This window comes from Homo sapiens, chromosome 15, assembly GCF_000001405.40.
Source record: "Homo sapiens chromosome 15, GRCh38.p14 Primary Assembly".
Lineage (NCBI taxonomy): Eukaryota > Metazoa > Chordata > Mammalia > Primates > Hominidae > Homo > Homo sapiens.
In genome coordinates this window covers 26109895-26133166 of record NC_000015.10, presented here as the reverse complement: position 1 = coordinate 26133166, position 23272 = coordinate 26109895, and the positions used below count along the sequence as shown (strand labels likewise).

Sequence of the window (23272 nt, the reverse complement as noted above, 5' to 3'; positions counted from 1 at the left end):
TCTCATTAATTCTGATTTATCATCAACAGATTATGCCTCTTCCCATGCCTTGTGTAATTTAATACGGCTGTGACTAGACAGTGGAGGAAAACATTCTTAAAGCTTCTGATCAAAGTGCATGGCACCCAGTGAGAGAGACAAGCATCCATCATTGTTTTATTAAGACTATGCTCTCAGTGACCCTGTGCCAGGCACGCTCTTAGAAGTAGCCCACTGTGAGCGGTGAAAGGATCTCAGGGAGCAGGACCACAGGAAGGGATGATTCATGAGACTTTTGCAAAACCTAGGCAAGAAAAGGGATATGTGAGGAATGTAGATTTCTTGATATTCCATGCCCTTTCAGGACCACAATCTCCCTACCCTCTGAAATGTTCTTCCCCCTTTCCTATTTTTTCTTACAAAACTAACTTAAATGTCTCTTTCACAGCAAAACTAGCTCTACACCTTCAGAGTAAGTTGCTCTGTCCTTCTTTATTAACTTTATTCTGATCCCCTGTGGATTCCAATGCATTCTAATCCCCTACCACCCACCACGGGACAGCATGGTGTTTCTGTCTATCACCCTCCCACCCTCTAGACTCTTAGATTTTAGGATAGTAATCCCTATACTGATACCGTGCTAGACACGAAATAAGCTCACATAAATCTTGACACGCTGAATACCAAACATATTACATGCAATGATTTCATTTTTACTGTATCTCACTGACATTAAACACTGTGGAGGGTTTTTTGTGGGAGATAAGGGGTTAGAAGTCTTTATTTTTATATAGGTTACATGAACCCCATGACTATTCAAGACTTACAGGTAGGTGGGTTCTCTCTTTCTCTCTTTCTCTCTCTCTCTGTGTGTCTCTTTCCTGAGGAAACATTTTTCTAAAATGTAATTTGAAGTGGAAAACATATCAAATATATATTACTTGAAGAAAGAGCAATAGATATTTGATAATGAACCTAGGATATAGTGTACATATGAAAATAACATAATCACTGAAGGCCAAAGCTACTAAAACTTCAGACTTAGAGAAACAGAAATATTATAGTCTTGTTTCAAACCACCACATCACATTCTTGGTCTCATTTTTAACAGGATAGGATATAGGTTAGGAAGAGGTATAAAAGAGAAAAGAGCAAGACTGTGATTTCACAACATAATCTTGGTGAAATGTCTTGTCTATAAAATGAGAAGTGGGTTAAACCACATGGTCCCAAAGTCTCTCCCAGCCCTAATGTTCCAGAAATCTAAGCAGAAACCACATTATGCATTTGAGTGAAATACAGGGAAGGAAGGAAGGAAGGAAGGAAGGAAGGAAGGAAGGAAGAAAGGAAGGGGAGGGAGGGAGGGAGGGAGGGAAAAGTTCAGAGTTGAATTTTGTAAATGACAATAAATTGCAAGAGAGATCCTTCGTCGCCTTACCTGAAGTCACGCCACCCAGCCTTCCACGTAGCATAAGTATGTAAAATTGCAAGGCAAAATCTCCTCTACCACAAGACAACCTGAAATGATGATTTGGGGTTATTCATATAGAGATTTTGGATTTGACTAAAAAGCTATAAGCCCTGCAATTAGATTCACTTGGACAGTTTGAGCTAAATGATGTGCAAAGCAATTGAAAATAACACTGAGTTCACTCTCCTTGGAAAGACTCCAGTGTAAACAGTCCACTCGACTTTTTTTGGGTTTTGCAGTTTGCAAAAAGGTCTAGTCCTAATTTCAGAGCCATGTAAAGAAGTTCCTATCTGGAATTATACAAAGAACATTAGCTTGATCCTAGAGATGTTTTCTATAATCATCTTCCAGAGGGATTAATAAAATCTTTTCACTTAATTGACTATTCAATGAAAACAATTAATTCAGTAACTTCAAAAATTCATTTTAATACATGTAGAACCAAATAATTATTTGGTCTGACTATGATTCACACACTTTTGCCAAGCATATTAATCTTATTTTGAAGATCAATAGACTGAGTTTCAGAATGCCTTAGTGACTTGCAACAAAGAAATAGCACACAGCTTTCTGATGTGCTGATGGATATGGAGTCCGTGTGGTCAGGAAGCACTACACACCACAGGCCACATTCTGGCCAATGTGGTGAAACCCATCTCTACTAAAAAATACAAAAATTAGCCAGGTGTGGTGGCGGGCACCTGTAATCCCAGCTAATCGGGAGGCTGAGACACGAGAATCACCTGAACCCGGGAGGTGGAGGTTGCAGTGAGCCAAGATCACGCCACTGCACTCTAGCCTGGGCAACAGAGTGAGGTTTCATCTCAAAAAAAAAAAAAAAAAAAAAAGAAATCTGGATATCTGAAAACATTCATTCTGATTTTTGTGTCTTTTGCATGCCTGCTTCTCCCACTCTCTACCAAAGACCCTTGAAATTTAAATTTTTGGATTTGAGGGCTAATATGATATTGATTGTGCTTTTGTTTGTCTTAGGGGAAATATTTGGATCTCCAAAACACAGTAAACAAAATCAAAGTGAAAAATCAGATCCTGAACTTATAACAAAAATTATTTGAGAGCTTTGTAGGTTGTTCTGTCTCTCAAATCTTCTCAAAGATGTGATTAGCACTAAATTCCTATCACAGTTTTCTTGTTTACGATAAACTCAGGCAACAGTCCATGCTGTAGTGTGTAAAATAAACTCTAACGATGCATTTGGTATATATCCCCCGCTGCTGTATTTGGATGTTAATTTTAAAGTAAAAAAAGAAAAAAAAAAATGCCATACCTTCTCTAGAACAAATGAACAAAGTGAGTTACATTAACATTATTTACATAAATTGGTGAACTCAGGAGGGGTTTGCGACATTGTACATGTTAAAGAAAAATGTTCTTTCCATATTTTCAAAGAAGACAGTCTTGGTTTTAAACAACGTTTGCTAAAAGCAATGATTGCTATTTTCCACAGAAATAAATCAACCTGTTTTTTTTTTTTTAATACAGGTATTTGCCCATGAGGGCTGTGCATTGTCATTGAAATGGCATCTGGTGACAAGCCTTAATGATCTCTTCTCTCTCACACTGTCCTTCTCTCTCAGTCCTTTGCAGGATGTCGTTAAGAGGGGATTTTTTTGTTTGTTTTTTTTCTGATAGGGGCTGACTCTGTCACCCAGGCTGGAATGTAGTAGTGGCACAATCTCATTCACTGCAGCCTTGCCCTCCCCGGCTCAAGCCATCCTCCCACCTCAGCCTCTAAAGTTGCTGGGACTATAGGCTCGTGCCACCACACCTAGCTAATTTTTTGGGTTTGTTTGTTTTGGTAGAAACGGGTTTTACCATGTTGCCCAGGCTGGTCTCAAACGCATGTGCTCAAGTGATCTGCCTGCCACAGCTTCCCAAGTAGCTGAGACTACAGGTGCCTACCACCATGCCTGGCTAATTTTTATATTTTTAATAGAGACGGGTTTTCACCATGATGGCCAGGCTGGTCTTGAATTCCTGGCCTCAAGTGATCCCCTCACCTTGGTCTCCCAAAGTGCTGGGATTACAGGCTTGAGCCACCGTGCCTGGCTATGAGGGATATATATATTTTTTAATCAGTTTCAGATGGATCTCCTGGGGCCCCTTATTTCAGTTTTCTGAATTATCATTGTTATTGAACACTCATGACGTTGAGTGCCTTATGGCTTATTGATCCCCAGTGAGGACCTGCATAACAGTCTATCAGGGATTGCCAGGGCTCAGCGTGGGATTGACTCCTTGAGAAAAAATGCAGTGCCTTTTGTGGCAAGATAAGACATTGCCGTCGTAAGCTCTGGTGGCTTTTAGCATGTGCTTATGAAGGTCTTGCCATTTGCTAAATCATGATGGTGGTCAGGAATATCATGCCATTTTGGTGTTCACAGACAAACTGCCCAATATTTGATTTAAAATCCCATTTCTAACTGGTAACCTCACACAGTGGGACTTAGCTCTCAGGAGCAGCAGCAGCTGTCTAGCCAAGGCTGACTAACTAATATTTTAAAGCCAATAGCTGTCTCTTTGGATCATATCTTCCTCGTTTGAGGGCTCCTTTTTAAAAAACATATGTTTATGTTTGTACATATTTTTTCAAAGTATGTTAAGATCATCTTATTTATATCAGCACAGACTAAAAATGGACTTAAACTTTCATTTGGGAAAATTTCCTGTCATTTGCAGATGTGCGGGCACCGGGTCAAGGTTTCCCAGCCTCTGCCTTTGTGTCCGTGTTATTCTTTTCTGTGGCTGTCTGTAGACAGTTACCATGGCTGTCTACTGCTGCATAACCAACTATTGCAACATTTAGTGCCTTACATCAACCATTTCATTATAGTGAATAACTCTGTGGTTCAGGAAATGGGTCAAGGACCAGCTGGGTGAATCTTCTGTTTCGTGAGAGGTAGACTGGGTTCACCTGGTGATGTTTGCTAGTGGCTGGGCTAGTTTGGGGAGTCTGAGATGGCTCCGGGTACATGCCTGAAGTCAGAGCTTGGAGGGGTGGGACATCCGGTGTTTGCTCTCCATGTGGCTTCTCCATGCGGCCAGCTTGGACTTAGGGTAGTTAGATATCTTAGATGATGACTCAGGGCTCCAGGAGAAAGTGTTTCCAAAGACTGAGGCAGAAGTTGCAGGCTGTTAGAAACCTAGCCTCGTAAGTCACATAGCTTCACTTCCACGGCAATTTATGGGTCAAACAAGTTTCTAAGTTCATCCCAGAATTTGACTGCCATGTCCCAATGGTCAAAAAATTGTCATCATTTCTAATCAACCACACACCTTCCCAGAGATCAAGTAGATTATTTTTTCATTCCTGTTCTCTTCATTGATTTGAAGTTATTCATTTTCTGGTGCTTCCCTGCACTTCTCAGCCCTTTTGTTGCTGGGTAAGGCCAGGTGACTACTTCTGGCCAGTGTGAATTCTCCACTTTGTGTGTGAATTGGACAATGTGTGTTGAGTTGGAAGATCCACAGTTTCCAAACAGTCAAGGAAGCTGAGCTGATTCAGCACCTAAAGGACTAACGATCCTCCTATAGTGGAATTTATAGGGTCAAGAGATCTTGAACTCTGAACTGAACATGAAAACTCGAGAGGACTTGTGAGCTATCTTCCTTGGGATATATATGGGAACAAAGGGGTATTTGGCAGCCATAAAAATGGGTTGCAACAGTGATGGAATTTTCACCAAACGTTTTCCATGTACCCCTAGACTGCACTGTGAGTCCCTGCAGGGAGGTTATCCATTGGATGTCATTTCTCAGGCTAAGGTAGAAGAGTGGCTGTGAGCTCCCATGCCTGGCCCTCCCTCTTGGTGTAGAGTGGGGAAGCCATGTCAACATGGCCTGTGTGCGCAATCCATCAAAGCCCCCAGGATTGGCTGGGGCACAGCAGGCAGGGCAGCTGCCTTGGGGAATTGCCCAATCTACAGTGGAATTTATGTGAATAATGAATAAAGTGCACATGGAGGCTAGAGATTGTGGATTTGACTGTCACTCAGCCTTACCTCTCCAATACACAATTCTATTTTTATTGTGTTAGAGGCTACTCTTAAAATGGAAACATGCACACAGTTCATACAACAAAGTATAAAGTTAGCCATTGTCTCCACCCTCCTCCCAATAAAATAAAAAAGTGGTTTTGAATTCCAAGCTCTGATCGCCACTTACCCTCACAAGCTTACGTGTTATTGTCACTTAGCATTTTTGTTTCATCTTTATTTATGACCTCAATATTGGTCATTTTTATCATTACTAATATTCTTTAAGACAAATGTCTTTTTTTCAGATTTACCTATAAATTTAGCAAATTTTGCTCCCTTCTTGTTGTAGTACCTGCCTTTGATTTGGGTTTTATTTCCTCCACTGAAGTAAATAGTTTAACCCTTATTTCAAAAAAAAAAAAAAAAAGGAAGGTAAACTTTCTAAATTTTTTGTTTTTTGAAATATTTTTATTTTACCTCCTCCTCTGAAAAAAAAAAAAAAGTTCAAGTATGTATAGAATTCTAGGTGTCAGCAATTTTCTCTCAGTGTTTTAAATATATTATTTCACTGAATTCTGTTCTCCATACCAGGGGTCAGCAAACATTTTCTGAAACAGAGGGCTTGTTTAAGAATCAACCACATGCAGACCATGTGGTTTCCATCACAGGTACTCAACAATGCTATTGAAGAGTGGAGGTGGCCATAAAGACATGTGCATAAGTGGGCGTATCTGTGCCAATAAAACTGTATTTGCACAGGCAGCCATCCAGACCATGGGTTGTAGTTTGCTGATCCCAGCTCTACAGTTCAAGTTGAGAAGCCTGCTGTGAGTCTAATTGTTTCTTCTATTTTAAAGTAACCTGCTTTAGGTTCGGTTCTTTGTCTTTGGTGATCGATACCTTGGTGCGTTTTAGTTTACAAATGAGTCCTTCTCAGTACTAGTACTTCCTGAATAAGGAACAATATCTTTAATGAATTCTGGAAGAAGGATAACTCTCACTTCTTCAAACATTATCATCCTCTCTTTTTACTTTCACCTCTGGAACTCATATTAAATGTATATCAAAACTTCTCTCCCAACCAGTATGGTGCTCCTGTTCTGCTTCCTAATTTTTTTGTGTTTTTGGTAGAGACAGGGTTTCACCGCGTTAGCCAGGATTGTCTCTATCTCCTGACCTCGTGATCTGCCCGCCTTGGCCTCCCAAAGCGCTGGGATTACAGGCGTGAGCCACCACACCCCGCCCATCCTCTGACTCTTAGTCATCATTTGCTCTTAACCTTACTGAGCCCCAGTTGCCTCATTTATGAATCAAAATAATAATTCCCATGCTTATCACTCAGTTCAGTTGCAGGGGAAGAAAAGTTATTTTAATTATCTAAAGCAGAAAGGAATTTCATACAGAGAACTGGGTGCTCACAGAATTGTTGGCAGAGTCAGAGTGGATGGCTCCCGTCTTTGCCTCTGGGACTGATGCCCAGAACTGGGGAAACAGCCCCGTGGGGGAGCTGCTGCCTTCGGGAAGAACGGTGTTAGCTGTGCAGCAGGATCAGGAAGCCCTGCACTAAAATGCAGCTGTGCTGCACCTGCCGGTCCACATAAGCAAAATCAAACCCTGATGGATGCCCCAGCCCTGCCACTCGGCCTCCCCAAGTGACTGGGTGCTGTTGGTGATAGATCCATGAGGCCATGCTTACCAGCAGGTCAACCAGAAAGGCAGCCCCCACGTCATCCCTGCCCTCCGGATCCGCATCAGGGCTGCTTGTTGCAATCATAGATCACATTCAGGGCCCTCTGCAGTGTGGCGTAGAAAAGCAGGTTCCAGCTTGCCAGCGCCTGCAAGCAGGATGCAGAGCCAGCCAGTTCATGGTATCCTCCACAGATCTCAAAGGCCAGGCCCGGAATCAACGAAACAACCTGCACAACGTGCTTGGCACCGGGCTTGGCGTGTAGCAATTGCCCTCATGTCTTCCAGTGTCTTGTGTGCTTCAAGACCATCCGTTGCCCAGTACGGCAGAACTTGTGCCATCTCAGGGGTTCCTGAAGCTTCAGCACATGGGGCTCACTCACACTTGCAAACATCAGTTTCACCAAAATCTGATTGTTTTTCTAAAAACAACGTGGAGGTGGTGATTTAGAGATTAAACCCATGGTTCTCCTCCATGGGGCAGCATTACTCGGTCCATCAGACACAAAGATGAACTCAGCAACTATACAGCCACAATGTCAACCCTAAGAATCACCATTGTGTCTAACAGGGGGAAGCATGGCTGTGCCAGCACAGTGGCCTGCATACAGTGAAGAGGGCAGCAATGCCGCTCCTGTGTGACTGGCACACACCCCCTCAAAGCCCACAGTGTTCCCCCGTGCACTCGCCCAGCCAGAGAACTTGGTTAGACTCCTCACCTGGAGTCGTTTCTCCCTCCTGTTGTGTACGAAATGTTGCCCCAAGTACCTCAGTCTGCTAACAACCTATTCTTCATCCTGTTTAATGTGGAATTCTGCAGAAGGCTGGGGGAAAAAGATATAAGCACTCTTGTTTAAGGTATTTGATACAAAAGAAGTGAACTAAACTAAAACGATATAAAACTTAAAATACAATAAAACTTCTCCAGACAACCTTCTCCTGACACTGTGAAGGATATTAACAAATTATTATTAAGTAGGCTACTCAGGCGATTATGCATCCGAGTGTTTTAATGTAGGGGGATGTTAAGTGGACACGAGGGACCAGAAGTGGAAAAGGCTTCTCGACGACACATGACTTGGGGCACTGCCTGTCTCCTCTGCGAGCCACACCAAGGCTCCCTGAGTCGGAGTTGTCACGGGGAGTCCTCTGGTTCCATACTGCGGTGTTCATCTCACTTAATCCCCACAGTGACTCTCAAGGCAGGCCCGAGCTGCTGGCTGACACCTTGATTTGTTGCTGGAGAGAGCTGGAAGTCTGGACATTTTAAGGTGGATCTTATCTGCTGAGGGGCTAATAGCATACATGAGAAGTCTAGTCCCAGAAATCAATTTTATCCCTATTCAAATACTGAATTGATTACAAAAAAAATGATAAAGATATTCCAGCACTTTCAGAGGCTGAGATGGGTATATCACTTGAGGTCAGGAGTCCCAGACCAGCCTGGCCAACATGGTGAAACCTCGACTCTACTAAAAATATAAAAATTATCCATTCGTGGTGGCCGGTGCCTGTAGTCTCAGCTACTCAGGAAGCTGAGGCAGGAGAATCGCTTGAACCTGGGAGGTGGAGGTTGCAGTGAGCCAAGATCGCACCACTGCACTCCAGTCTGGGTGACAGAGCAAGGCTCTGTCTCAAAAAAACCAAAAAGATAAAAATAAGGTACAAACATATGCTTTGCAAAGATCTATAAAAGTCTTCTGGGCCGGGCGTGGTGGCTCATGCCTGTAATCCCAGCACTTTGGGAGGCCGAGGTGGGCGGATCATGAGGTCAGGAGATCGAGACCATCCTGGCGAACACGGTGAAACCCCGTCTCTACTAAAAATACAAAAATTAGCCGGGCGTGGTGGTGGGTGACTGTAGTCCCAGCTACTCGGGAGGCTGAGGCAGGAGAATGGCGTGAACTCGGGAAGCGGAGCTTGCAGTGAGCCGAGATTGCGCCACTGCACTCCAGCCTGGGCGACAGAGCAAGACTCCGTCTCAAAAAAATAAATAAATAAATAAAATTTTAAAAAGCCTTCTGGACAAATATTCAAGATATTAACATCACAGTCTTTTTATTTTTGAGACAGAGTTTCGTTCTTGCTGCCCAGGCTGGAGTGCAGTAGCGCAATCTCAGCTCACTGCAACCTCCGACTCCTGGGTTCAAGCGATTCTCCTGTCTAAGCCTGCCAAGTAGCTGGGATTACAGGCATGCACCACCATGCCTGGCTAATTTTGTATTTCTTTTCTTTTTTTTCTTTTTTCTTTTTTCTTTTTTTTTTTTTTTTTTTTTTTGAGTCGGAGTCTCGCTCTGTAGCCCAGGCAGGAGTGCAGTGGCGCGATCTCGGCTCACTGCAAGCTCCGCCTCCCACGGGGTTTCTCCACGTTGGTCAGGCTGGTCTCAAACTCCCGACCTCAGGCGATCCACCCACCTCGGCCTCTCAAAGTGTTGGGATTACAGGCATGAGCCACTGCGCGTGGCCAGTGTCACAGTTTTTTAAGGAGTTAGGAGTTTCTGCCCACACGAATCTGGCTGTAGCCTCTTATAACAAACCTGGTGAAACCAGACTCAAGATTACGTCTTCTCGTTCTGGTAAATCTCCTGAATTCAGCCTCCATTCAAAACCAGGATCATCATTGCAAATTTTCTTTGCCAGCAGGAAGTTTTCCCGTCTCCAAAATCAGAGAACCAATGGCAAATGCCAGGCTACTCCGTGCTTCCATCAGCTTCCCGTAAAATTTTTAAATCGGAACACATTTGCATCTTTGCTGAGCTTCCTTTCAGCGTGTCCACTGACTCTGCCATTAGTATTGGAGGCCTCACTTGTTATGGTTATAAGGCTTCTACCAGTGGCAGTGCACACGAAGCTCTGCTGAGTGAAGGACCAGCTGCTTCACAAGTCCTGTTGGATGTGTGGTGCAGTAGGCCGGCGGAGACATATAACTTGCCTAAAGTTTTCAGCATAAGTGTCACTGTGACCTTGACTTCAATTCTAACTAAAAATCTATCTTATTTTTGCCTCACTGTGAAAACTCTCTAATGATAATAATAATAGACTCGTTGAACACATGCAAGTTTCAGACATGAATAGACATGTATCCAAAGATATACAGTTGGCCAATAAGCACATAAAAATGCACTCAACGTCACTTATCACTAATGCAATGCAAATGAAAACCACCATGAGGTCCCATTTCACACCCATTAAAATGACTACTATAAACAAACAACAGCAAAAAAAAAACACATAAAATAACAAATATTGGCAAATATATAGAAAAATTAGCACCCTTGTGCATTGCTGGTGGGGATGAAAAATGATGCAGCCACTGTGGAAACAGCATGGAGATTCCTCAAAAAGCTGGACATAGAATTACCATGCGATCCAGCAATCCCACTTTGGGGAAATATCCAAAAGAAGTGAAAGCAGGAACTCACACAAATATCTGTACACCACATCCCCAGGCGCATCATTCACGATAGCTAAAAGATGACTAAACAGTGGAAACAACCCCAATACCCACTGAGGAATGAATGCATAAACAAAATGTAGCCTACCCATACCAAGCAATGTCATTCTACCTTAAAGAAGAAGGAGATTCAGACACAGATGAACCTTGAGAACATTATGCTACATGAAATCAACTAGTCACAAACGGACAAATACTTTATGATTGGATTTAGAGGAGGCAGCAAGAGTAGTCAAATTCATAGAGACAGTTGAATGATGGTTTCCAAGAGCTTGGGGAGGGGGAAATGAGGACTTGTGTTTAATGGGTACAGAGTTTCAGTTTTGCAAGACGAAAAGAGCTCTGGAGATGGATGGTGGTGGTGGTCACACAACTAAGTTAATGTACCTAATGCCACTATGCTGCACCCTTAAAAGTGGTAAAGATAGTACATTTTGTATCACGTGTACTTTAGCACAATTTTAAAAATAGCTAAAAAAAATGAGCCTGGTGTGGTGGCGGACGCCTGTGGTACCAGCTACTTGGGAAGCTGAGTTGAGAAGACTGTTTGAGCCTGCAAGGCAGAGGCATGGTGGATCATGCAACTTACCACCTTGTTTGTACTCTTAGAACATCCCCTCAAGACAGCTGTTATCAGCCTGTCATGACAGATGAGGAGATGCATCACACAGGCTGATGATCCCAGCGCCCACAGCCGGACACTGGACCCAGCACATCCAGACGACAGCAGAGATGACACTACCAAGAGCACAGAGGGTGGTGCAGGTGCTCCGACTGGCAATAGCAACTTGCTCCTTAGGAAATGGGCCTCAGACTCCTGTGCCTCCAGCCCTGAGACCTGAAAGGCCCTCCCAACAGGGTTGGAAGCGGGCAGGGAAGCCATTTACCATTTAGAAACTATGAGGCGCAGTTGCTGAAGTTTCCAAGCATCTCATTTCTGCTGTGAAATAGCCATGCAAGAAGGAAAGTGGAGGTGGAGGTTGCAGTGAGCCAAGCCGAGATCATGCTGCCCCAGCCTGGGTGACAGAGCAAGTCTCCGCCTCAAAAAAAAAAAAAAAAAAAGAAGAAGAAGAAAAAAAAGCTGTCTGCATGGCATGGTAAATGCTGGCAGTCTGAACCTTGCTCTTTGTGTGTCATGCCAGCAGACAGACAGCTGAGCTTCTGCTCAGGTAACTTGATATTTAATGAGTGTATATTTCTCCTCTTTGGTATTTGCCTTAAAGTCCTAACATTAATTACATGGTGTGATTTTATTCACCCAAGAAATGCTAACCGATTAACTACTACGTGCAAGAAAATCCTAAATGGTAAAAATTTTATATCTTATTCTTAAGAAATCTACATCCTCCTAGATTTGAATTTCCATCTTCTCTCTGCATTCTTTTAGGTAGACCAGATAGAAGAGACATGTGTAAAGATGGCATCTAAAAGGCAAACCAAAAAGAACAGGTTCTGCACAGCCAACACCCAGTACTTAGAGTTTAAAATGTGAAATTATTCTCTGAGGCCAGGCATGGTAGTTCACGCCTGTAATCCCAGCACTTTGGGAGGCCGAGGCAGGAGGATCACTTGAGGTCAGGAGTTGGAGACCAGCTTGGGCAACATGAGGAACCCCTGTGTCTATAAAATAATACAACAACAACAAAATTAGCCAGGCATGGTGGTGCACACCCGTAGTCCCAGCTACTTGGGAGGCTAAGATGGGAGGATATCTTGTGCCCAGGAGGCCCAGGCTGCAGTAAGCTGCGATTGCACCACTGTACACCAGCCTGGGTGATGCAGTGAGACTCGATCTCAAAAAAAAAAAAAAAAAAAAAAAAGGCTGGGGGCGGTGGCTCACGCCTGTAATCCCAGCACTTTGGGAGGCCGAGAAGGGCGGATCATGAGGTCAGGAGATCGAGACCATCCTGGCTAACACGGTGAAACCCCATCTCTACTAAAAATACAAAAAATTAGCCGGGCGTGCTGGCGGACGCCTGTAGTCCCAGCTGCTCAGGAGGCTGAAGCAGGAGAATAGCATGAACCTGGGAGGCGGAGCTTGCAGTGAGCCGAGATCACGTCACTGCAAGCTCCAGCCTGGGCGACAGAGCGAGACTCCATCTCAAAAAAAAAAGAAAAAAGAAAAGGGAAAAGAAAAATTGTTTGCAATTGTTTCCAGCCATTGTAGAGGCTCTTAAGGAGATTTCCCTTTCGAAGTCAATAACAACAACAGTAGTAATACACCTGAGGATGGCTAGCAGGGAAGCGTGAAGCGTGGTTAACGTCAACACAGGAAAACAATTTCCTCCGTGATCCATCAAAACAAACGAACTTAGAAATAGACACTGTAAGAACCCAGAATACTGAAAGTATTGGGGTGAGAGCCACACTCTAATGCGGGAATCCCGTGGCTGTAAGGAAGCCTCTTTGGAAGTCTTGCCTTCTGCAAGTAGAACTGGTGGGGGTAAATGTGAAATTGGTGAAGAAGGAGGCGATCTGCCATTTTTGGAAGTCTTTAATTGCAGGCCAGATTCTGAGTAATGATACCCTGTTGCCCTACCAATCCTCAGATATATTTAACCACAAATTTATTTTTATCACTTTTGTTTTAGCCATTTCAATGGGAGGAAGTCATCTTTTGTGTCCTCTTGTGATCTTCTGTGATATGTTTTGGAGAAAATAGCTTAAGTGCATTTCACACCTATAATTTTATTGCTTGGAAAGGACCCCAGGCCTTGGCAGACCAGGTGATGAGATCCTGTGCTGACGAGCCCGTGGTCACCCGGGGTCCTGCTTCCGCAGCCAGGCTGACGTGGAAATGACCACATTCACGTTTCTCCCACATAGAGACACTTGGATTCCTGTTCTATTTTAGGCTCATGGAAGGTTCCAAGGGTGATTGATATTCCCCAGCATGTACATGGGATCTCTTTTCCATCTCTTTCTATGCTACCATTCTATCCATTCTCATGCCCACTCCGCGATTTATTCGTATTTATCAAAGGCAGATTTGCATTGCCGTTTCTAAAATGCCATTTCTTTCAACCTAAGTTACCACCCCCACTGCCTCTGCCACCTTCTGATTGTGGGTTGATTTGTGTGTCTCCACGTTCACTCACACGCCTTATGTCATCAATCCTTAACTGGGGTGGGCTGTCAGTCTCTTTTTTTATTAGTAAAAGTACATGTATGATTATTTCTCTCCTTATTTGATGTATTATTTCAAACTACTAATAGTTATAGGGCACCTATCAGCTTCTGTCTTTATAATGAGCATTGGAAGTTCAAAGATAAAAAAAAATCTCGTGGAGTTTATATTCCACCCTTTCTTTTGGTGCCGTGGCATTTGGTGAAAATAAGCATGGCTCTCTTTCTCCTGTGTGAAGGCTCTCCCTGCTCCCACACAGAAGGCACAGCAAGCAATGTGGCTGAGACAGGCCGCCTGACTGGAAGGGGCATGGCCGCGTCATGGCCTTCCAGGATCCTGGCAAGTCTTGTTTCCCACGTACGGCCTATCGTTTCCTTCCCGTCCAGGAACCACTTCCCTTCACAGTCACCTGGAGCATTACGCAAAACCATCCCACCTTGAATAAGTGTGAGCATCCCAAATGGCTGTAGCCTCCCTTCTCTGGGCATTCCTGGGTCAGCCTGTTGCCCACAAACCCAACAGGAACTCAGTTTTTCTAATCCCTGTACTTTCTTCACCTTCCCAGTGAGCAAGCTTAGATTCCATGATTCACCACCTCCATCACATATCTCTGCTAGCCTTACCTCCCTTGCTGCTGGTCTGTCTTCCTGTCACACCAGCAGACACACACACTGCACCAAACATCTTTGATTTCTGTACTCTGACGCTTCGACATCTGGGGCCCTGCTGACCCTGCAGGGACTGCCCCTCCCAGGGCGAGCTAATTCCAAGACAGGGTAAACAACCTGCCAGTGGGTATGCTTTTCAAATACGAACAAGCCAATCCCAGCCAACACCCCCGACCACGTCCAGCCATGACTGGACTCTCACACTGGGCCACCATCCCCCTTCCCACATCACCCCAGGGCTGGGTACCAGACAACAAGGGAGATTCTCTAGGCCCCAGAGCCCACAGAGATTGTTCTCACAACTCAATCTAAACCTGCTGACCCTGCCTTGCCTGTTCTTTCTCACTAAAAGTGCAGTAAAGGTTTCCATCCACAGTCCCCACTTGCCGTCTGACTCCTGGCTGCCCCAGTGCTTCTGTCTGGCCCCCACCAGCATGCAGCATGTCATGCTCCTCCCCTTGGGAACCACAAATCACAAACTATCTTGTCAGTGACAACCATCACCAGATCTGCAGCCTCACCATACCTGAATAATAATAAAGCCTGTAAGGCCAAGGCCAGTGGATCACCTGAGGTCAGGAGCTCCAGACAAGCCTGGCCAACATGGTGAAACATCATCTCTACTAAAATATACAAAAATTAGCCAGGCATGGTGCACGTGCTTGTAGTCCCAGCTACTCGGAAGGCCGAGGCAGGAGAATTGCTTGAATCCAGGAGGTGGAGGTTGCAGTGAGCTGAGATCGAACCACTGCACTCCAGCCTGGGCAACAGGGTGACTCCGCCTCAAATAAATAAATAAATAAATAAATAAATAAATAAATAAATAATAATAAGGCCTGCATTTTAAAAAGCAGACTGCCACCCCAAGAAAACCAAGTATTTCCTTGCCAGGAACTGGCTTGGGAGCAGCCTGGCGATTCTGAAGAAAACCACCTAATAAGGCTAACTGTGTTCACAATGAATTTACAATGACTAACAGGCTTAACACTCCTGCAAACCCCACTCACTTCTGCCAATGACACTAAGACAAGGGCTATTTCAAATCTTCTGCCTCTTCCCATGTCTCCCACCTGAAGGAAATAATGTATACAGTGGTCCATTTCCAAGACAAAGTGCCTTGAATGGGCTTAGGTCAGCAAACTACAGAAGAAAGAGGATATACTAGGCCGCTGCTTGGATAGCAGATGCCTGCTTGTCAGCCTTCCCCTTCTTCCCCTTCTCCTGCACCTTAGTTGCCCTCATCCAAACCAAAGAGGTTTAGTCTAAGATAAAACTTTACTAATCTGCAAGATAGCTCATTTTGTCTGTTCTTACCAGCCTGCCCAGCTACTTAGGTCATAAGTCAAATACTTGAAGAGCCCCTGAGCTAACTAAGATTGCAATGCATTGTGGGTTGCAACAAAATGCAGTAAGACAACCCTAAAGAAACACCTAAAGCCTCTACCCAACAATCAATAGATGACATCCAGGAAGATTGTGACCTCATAGTAGTCAGCCTATGAGAAACCTGGGGAGGGACCTGCGTGCTAGGGCATAAATTGCTCGTTGAAACTATGCTGGGTATGCCTCCCCACCAGACACCTGGTTTTACAAGTCTGTCATTAAAAGTCTCAGTTTCGCTAATGTTTTGGAAGACTTAAATGATGACTAGATCCATTACCTTATTTAATAAGAAGATGAGCATATCTTTTATTTATTTATTTATTTTGAGATGGAGTTTTGCTCTTTCGCCCAGACTGGAGTGCAGTGGCGTGATCTCAGCTCACTGCAGCATCCATCTTCCAGTTTCAAGTGATTCTCCTGCCTCAGCCTCCCAAGTGGCTGGGATTACAGGTGTCCACCATCATGTCTGGCTAAATTTTGTATTTTTAGTAGAGACAGGGTTTTACCATGTAGGCCAGGCTGGTCTTGAACTCCTGACCTTGTGATCCACCTGCCTCGGCCTCCTAAAGTGCTGGGATTACAGGCGTGAGCCACCACGCCTGACCAAAGATGGCCATATCTTAATCATATCATTTCTTCAGCAATTATTACTTAGATTTATTCCACACAAAGAACCTTTCATAATCAAATATTTACCTACCCTAAGGCATGGTTCTGAACAAGAAAGGTAGAGTAAATATTTTATTTTTTTCAAGTCTGTTTCCAGAAGAATGAATTTTCTGCATTGTAAACCAACTTTTAAAGTTTTGTTATAATCCCATCTTTGATGTAGTTTGGTCCATTGCCTTTTGCTCTTAACTGCCTCCTCCGGCCATCAGCCTTGGATGTGGATATCAACAAGCACAGTTCGTTCCCTAGCTCACCCTCTGACAGCCAAGCTCTTTCCTAGGTCTTGGGAGACTAGCCCAGTCAGTGATCTTCCCTTCCAATGAAAGAGATTTTCATTTTTATACAAGGGTTCATGCTAAGTTCCCTCTCCCCGATGGGTCAACCCAAAGCTGGAGTCTGCAGAAGTATGTGAGGAGTCCATATTCAAACACCTGGGCGGGCCTTTACCTGGACTAAAACCAGGGTTGTGCAGGAGCTGGCTTGCATAGGCTCACAGGAGGTGACTCTGAGTACCTCTCCCAAATTCTGTCTGCAGGGACAGCACTGCGGTAGCTGGAAAACAACCAAGATGGAAGTAATTATACCGTGGAAATTGGCAAACACTACAAATCAGAGCTGTTCCTCCCTGGAGATCTGCTATTAAACATTTACTGCACACTCCTGCAAAACCTCCGCAGGCCACCCCACAGCAGCGTGGGTTTCTACCTACCTCTGATTTTTCTTTCTGTTTTTGGTTCCTGGGAATTTCCATTTGCTTGTTTCAAATTGGCTGTATTTTTACATTTAATGACATATCAAATTCAGAATGCATTTGTATTGGTAGCAGGAAAGAAGGCCTTCCCAGTGTGCCACGTTGTCAGAGACACCTCTAAGCCACGGCGAGAGGGTCTGGAGGTTGATGGCGTGTGGGTTGGGGAGGGAGTGGCTGAAGAGGGCCGAGAGTGTTCCGGGACTGGGGAATCATCTGTCTGCTGCTCCCTGCACACAAGGGTTTCCATGACGCCCTGACCTAGTGGCCTACATTCCGATAGGTTTTGAAGTTTCAAAAGACAATAGTAACCACACAGCATGGAGAAAAGTGCTGGGAAAGGCACCAGAGAGTGCAGAGTCCAGCTCAGGATACACCGGAATCTACCATATGGTAAAGGGAGCTTTGCAATCAGTGAGGAAAAGATAGGTTAGGCCTCAAATCATTATTTTATTAAAACAATTTTTAAAACAAAATATTTAACTCATTCCTTGCAACAGATAAGCTCCAGATAAAATACATTTTAATTTTAAAAAAATTATAAAAGTAAAATAATACAAGCTAATTTAGGTGAATATTTTAATATTATTTTCACAAGCAGCCAAAGTTTAAACACTGACACATCATCAAAGCCAGAAGCTATAAAGAAGAATATCCATGGGGTTTATCTATAACTTTTTAAATATCAATTTTTTTTTCTCATGGATAAGATTAAGACAAATAGCCAACTGAGTTTAAAATATCTATAATAGGCCAGGCGCGGTGGCTCATGCCTGTAATCCTAGCACTTTGGGAGGTCAAGACAGGCGGATCATTTGAGGCCAAGAGTTGGAGACCAGCCTGGCCAACATGGGGAAACCCCGTCTCTACTAAAAACATAAAAATTAGCGAGGTATGGTAGTGTGCACCTGTAATCCCAGCTACATGGGAGGGTGAGGACCGAGAATCACGTGAACCTGGGAAGGCAGAGGTTGTATTGAGCCGAGATGGCACCACTGTACTCCAGCCTGGGTGATAGAGCGAGACTCCATCTAAACAAACAAGCAAACAAAAAAACCCCTAAAAAACTACAGTATTATATGGATTGTTTTCAACTTTCATTTCAAAATTATTCTAAAGTTTATGAGACAATAGAAAATAAAACTTTGAAAGAGAAAAATGATACAGAACTTGCATCAGTGCACATAAAGTTTATCACGAAGGTACAATTACAAAAGTATTATTCCAGCACAGAAATAGATTGGCACCCGGTAAAACTGCATAAAAGGACAGATACTGACCCCACTGTATCCAGGGAGTTATAAGTAATAATTTTTGCTGGTGGGGAAAGGAAGAGTCATGCAATAAATGATGCTCAGCCAATTGGTTAATTCCAAGGAGAAACGTTAAGCTAGATTTCTCTGTCACAAGAAACACTAAAGTTGGCTGGGCATGGTGGCTCATGCCACCATAGAGCAGGCGGTTGGGGGTTGGGGAGGCAGTCTGAGGTGAAGCCAGCTGGATTTTTAGTTCGGGTGGGGACTTGGAGAACTTTTCTGTCTTACAAGAGGATTGTAAAATGCACCAATCAGCACTCTGTAGCTAGGATTATAAAACGCACCAGTCAGCACTCTGTGGCTAGCCAGAGGTTTGTAAAATGCACCAATCAGCACTCTGTAGCTAGCTAGAGTTTGTAAAATGGATCAATCAGTGCGCTGTAAAATGGGCCAATCAGCACTCTGTAAAATGGACCAATCAGCAGGACATGGGTGGGGACAAATAAGGGAATAAAAGCTGGCCACCCGCAGACAGCAGCGGCAACCCGGTGGAGTCCCCTTTGACACTGTGGCGTTGTTGTTCTTTTGCTCTTCACAGTAAATTTTGCTGCTGCTGTCTCTTTGGATTTGGGCCATTTTTAAGAGGTGTAACACTCACTGTGAAGTTCTGTAGCTCCATTCTTCAAGTTAGCGAGACCACGAACCTGCCGGAAGGAACCAACTCCGGACATAGCAGATCAAGAAGGCAGTCAGAAGTGGGTAAGGACGTGGCCATCAAAGAGTACTGAGTGTTAACAATAAGACCAAAAGTAAAGGAACAGTGTAGTTCTACGGTTTTTGCCTAAAAATCTGTATATGCAGCGGGGATTTTTACAAAGCGTAGGAGATAAAGTATCTATGTGATACGAGGGATTCTTTTTTGGTGTTGAGTTGTTTGTGATTTTAGTATCTTCATGATATTGTGTTTCCTACAATGTTTTGAGTACATCTTTTTAGTAAACAAAAATGGGTTTATTGGTTTCCTTTTTTAACTGTACGTTGAACATATATCCTGAAACACCATCATGCTGAAATCAATGAAAAACAATAGAAAAGTTAAAAAGTATATTTTAAGTGAGTGGGGAAAATCATTTCTGAAAGTGCAGAGGCTGGAAAAGAAAACAGGGACCAGATTGGCAAGAGCCTGTAGCCCCGCCCCCTTCCTCAGGACGCCTGCGACCTCCAGGGGAAGCAGCCAGGGCATGCTGAGGCTCCAGGCCAGGGACCTACCCAAAGGGCACAGACCGGGGCGGGGACCAGTCAGGAAGGACCACCGCAATCACAGGCTGGCCTGGGGCGGGTGCTCTGAATTCATCGTGGCCTGCTATCTCAGAAATCTCCAGGGGAGCATTTACCCCAAAGAAGTCCCAGAATGACAGTGGGCTCCGGCCAGATTAACCCTGGAAACGTCATGGTGAGCAAAACAAGCAGGAATGAGTAACCGGAAAGAATAAATGTGTGTGTCCATGTCGATGATTTCCAAAAATATGAAAATTTTAATCATAAATTGTTTACAGGTATGTGTGACAAAAATTTTTTTTAAAAATACGTATAGCTTCAAAATGTAGAACTCCTAATTCTACATAGTGGTAGCTCTAAACTTCTCTCAGAAAGAGACAGATCTAAACCATTACCAATGTAAAGGCTTCAAATTCACAATCCCCAGGACTGCATTTATTCAGGAGGGCATATGCTTTGCTTTTGAACACACATGTAATTTTTAAAATAAATTATTCTCAACCACAAAGGCAATCATAAATTTCAAGAAGTTAACACCATTAAAACCACATTTATTTTCACAAAGCAATAAAATTAGAAAACAAACAAACATTTACATAACTCTTAATTAAAAATGAAATAGAAGTAGAAATTGCAAACCTGTGTAACTGAATAATAAATAAGAGCGCCTCTTCAATCCTGTGAGATGAAGGAGGCAAAAGACACTTTGAGAACCATGAGTATTCTTAAATGCATTAATTAGATTCAAAGATGCATTAAAAATAAATTAAGCTTTCCGCTCAAGAATCCAGGAGAAAGAACAGCACAATAAACCCAAATAAATTAGAAGAAAATTAATAAGGAGAAAAACAATTTAATTCAATAAAAACCCACAGACATAACTTTGAGATAATCAGCACCAAAATAATATTTTATGAAATCATCAATAAAACAAACTTCGAATAAGTAGAATAAACAACAGGAAAGACATAAGTAATGTAGGAAGCAAAAGGTACCCAGCAGGGTCAGGCGTGATGGCTCATGCCCAGAATCCCAGCACTCTGGTAGGCGGAGGTGGGAGAACCCCTTGAGCTCAGTAGTTTGAGAGAGGCCGAGGTGGGAGGATCCCTTGAGCTCAGTAGCTTGAGACCAGCCTGGGCAATATGGCGAAACCCTGTGTCTACTAAAAATACAAAAATTAGCAGGGCCTGGTGGCAGGGACCTGTAGTCCCAGCTACTTGGGAGGCTGAGGTGGGAGGGGACAGAGATTGCAGTGAGCCAAGATCATGCCACTGCACTCCAGTCTGGGTGACAGAGCGAGAGCCTGTCTCAACAACAACAAAAAAGCACATAGCGGTGCCGAGGCAGCAAGGATTTATGTGTTATAAAAGATTTATATGCAACTTTAGTTCAATAAAAATAAGGGTCAGCTTGGGAACTGTGGCCTATGTTGGCAACTCCTCTCCATCCTATTTTATTCCTGCAAGAGGGTTTCCTACTACACAACGATTAAATGTGTCTTTTTTGTGATAACTCACACTGAAAAGTAGACATTTTAAGTAAAGAATATGATTGAAAATGAGAGACTTTAGCAAGAGACAAAGGGCAGATATATAAACTAGTGTGCTCACACCTAGGAGGAATATTAGCGTGGGTCACAGCCTTTCTCCCTATTTACATTCTACTTAAATAAACAGGAGGTACATTTATGCCAATAAGAAGATGAGTTGTGATTTGGAAAACCGTGGGGCAGGAGAGGGCATGCAGCATCGTCAGTCATTCCTGCCAGTCAGCACCCTGATTGATGACCTACAAAGCCGCAGCAGCCAGGAGAACACAGGAGCACGCTAGAACGTCCAATCCAAAGGAAAAACAACCTATACTGTAAAGTGATCGTGCTCATCTCAGTGTGTGACAAGGAAGACGATGGCACCTGGTTCCAGGAGCCGAACGTTTCCACATCCCTGTGAGGTAGCTGTCTTCTGCACATTCTTTCTGGGGCATCAGCATCCCACTGTCCTCAGAGGCTTTGAAGTTAGTCTGGTACAGAGGACGTCACATGTACAGCAACAGGTAACCCGGCTGGGGAGGGTGCGCTTCCCGGTCACCCACCGCCATGGCACGTGGCTCTGGCACCACTGCCAAGTCTCTTGAGTTCTCTGCAATTCCTCAAGGGACTCTGTGCTCAGTTTCTCTGCAGAGAAGACTGCAGAGCAGGAAGTAACTCCCAGAAAGGATCACTTTAAGGACAGATTTTCCTAGCAATGACCGCCTCCTGGTACACAGGCTCCGTTTAAGCCTCGTGAATTTTCAATACAAAATTTCCAGAAGAAAGATTCAAAAGCTGCCTCCATGGCTCATTCTTAGATGTTCAATAAGCACCGTGATCTCGGCTCGATTAATTGGAGAGTATTTGGGGCTCTGGCTCAGTGACCTCCTTAAAGCAGACCAGGAACACCTCCTTGAAGGAGGGACAGTTGGCACCCCTCAAACTGGCTGTGCCCACCCATGAGGTAGAGATCCCCCAGCTGTAATATCCGTGGCCAGAACACTGCCTCCCATTTAATATTGAACGGTTATGTGTGTGAATCCCTTAATACCTGGGGTGGCGAGAAGAAAAGCACATTAACAGCTCCAGGTCAACCTAGGGGATATTTTAGAATTATTTGCCAGGAAAAGATTTTTATTGAAAATAATTCTTACTTCGGGGAGTTCACCTGCTCTCCCCAAGAGCAGCCCCCTTGATGAACCAAGGAACCCCAAACTTTCTTGGCCTGTCCTACATCTGCTCATTCACTCCAGGTGTCCCCACTCCCCTACAGATGGTGGACCCGCTGTGTGCCTGTCTAACCCTAGCGCCCAGACCGCTGCACTCATCTGTTGCTGACCAGGCAAAGTAAGCTCGCAGCATTTACCAGCTCAAGGTGATGGTCACATGTGGCCTTTTGGTGTTGGGGTACAACAGGATTTAATCTTAGGATGCAGGTTTAGAAAGTCGCCTGTGTGTTGTTGCTTGCCAAGTAACTCAGATATGAACATTGTGCTGATAAAGACCATGTCAAGCTTCTCATTGTCATTCTTGAGTTCTATAGGGGAATTGATCCTAAGTTGTAAGGCTATATCTGTTTTCCTTGGGACTCAAGCATGTTTATTTCAAAATATAATCTTTCATAAAATGTATCTCAGTATATAAATACTGCATCAAATATCACAAGCCATTGTAGAGACCTACAGAGAACATGGTCATGAGCCCTCCACCCTCTCCTCCTTCTTATCTCTAACAGTTCTACTGCAGGGCTCATTTTAACCTGGTAAATACTGTTCTAAAACTGTTCGTTATAAAAATATGAATACATATATGTGTAAATAAATGCCATCATATATTCCCATCTGTAAACAGATGTGTTTTTCATAGTTTTTAATGACCTAATTTATGTTGAAAGGGTGATAAATATACATAGTATAAATTTCAAATGCTCCAAAAGCATATACACAGGTGTATTGGGTTGAACAATGTCCCTTAAAAATTCGCATCCACCCAGAGCCTCCGAATGTGAGCTTTTTTGGAAAGAGGGC

The 23272-nt window shown here is 43.7% G+C and overlaps 2 long non-coding RNA genes across 4 annotated transcripts in view, besides 3 other annotated features; one reads left to right on the top strand and one right to left on the bottom strand.

Annotated features, from left to right (window-relative positions):
• Positions 1 to 23272, top strand: part of LOC105370739 (uncharacterized) — a 53368-nt gene that overhangs the window by 9832 nt on the left and 20264 nt on the right. The window contains exons 4-5 of one of the 2 annotated variants that reach the window (XR_932005.3): positions 19038 to 19198; positions 21394 to 21769. This is a non-coding gene — a long non-coding RNA (uncharacterized LOC105370739). The remainder of the gene's footprint in view (positions 1 to 19037; positions 19199 to 21393; positions 21770 to 23272) is intronic. The other variant, XR_932004.3, reaches the window with a different exon arrangement.
• Positions 130 to 17354, bottom strand: LINC00929 (long intergenic non-protein coding RNA 929). 2 transcript variants are annotated; one of them, NR_038852.1, is made up of 6 exons: positions 17145 to 17354; positions 16883 to 16987; positions 7854 to 7958; positions 1418 to 1497; positions 807 to 876; positions 130 to 283 (listed from the first exon to the last, which is right to left on the bottom strand). It is a non-coding gene; the product is annotated as a long intergenic non-protein coding RNA 929 (long non-coding RNA). The 2 variants fall into 2 exon arrangements; NR_038851.1 differs by lacking the exons at positions 130 to 283; positions 807 to 876; positions 1418 to 1497 and adding an exon at positions 6796 to 7556.
• Positions 2649 to 3237: an enhancer, noted in NCBI's record as "NANOG-H3K27ac-H3K4me1 hESC enhancer chr15:26375077-26375665 (GRCh37/hg19 assembly coordinates)". NCBI's record gives its function as "activates a minimal SCP1, AML or CMV promoter by ChIP-STARR-seq in naive H9 embryonic stem cells {active_cell/tissue: H9 hESC(naive)}" and the evidence as "EXISTENCE:reporter gene assay evidence [ECO:0000049][PMID:30033119]".
• Positions 6333 to 7025: an enhancer, noted in NCBI's record as "H3K27ac-H3K4me1 hESC enhancer chr15:26371289-26371981 (GRCh37/hg19 assembly coordinates)". NCBI's record gives its function as "activates a minimal SCP1, AML or CMV promoter by ChIP-STARR-seq in naive H9 embryonic stem cells {active_cell/tissue: H9 hESC(naive)}" and the evidence as "EXISTENCE:reporter gene assay evidence [ECO:0000049][PMID:30033119]".
• Positions 14091 to 14385: a silencer, noted in NCBI's record as "tiled region #9219; K562 Repressive non-DNase unmatched - State 11:FaireW". NCBI's record gives its function as "represses a minimal TATA promoter and a strong SV40 promoter by Sharpr-MPRA in K562 cells {active_cell/tissue: K562}" and the evidence as "EXISTENCE:reporter gene assay evidence [ECO:0000049][PMID:27701403]".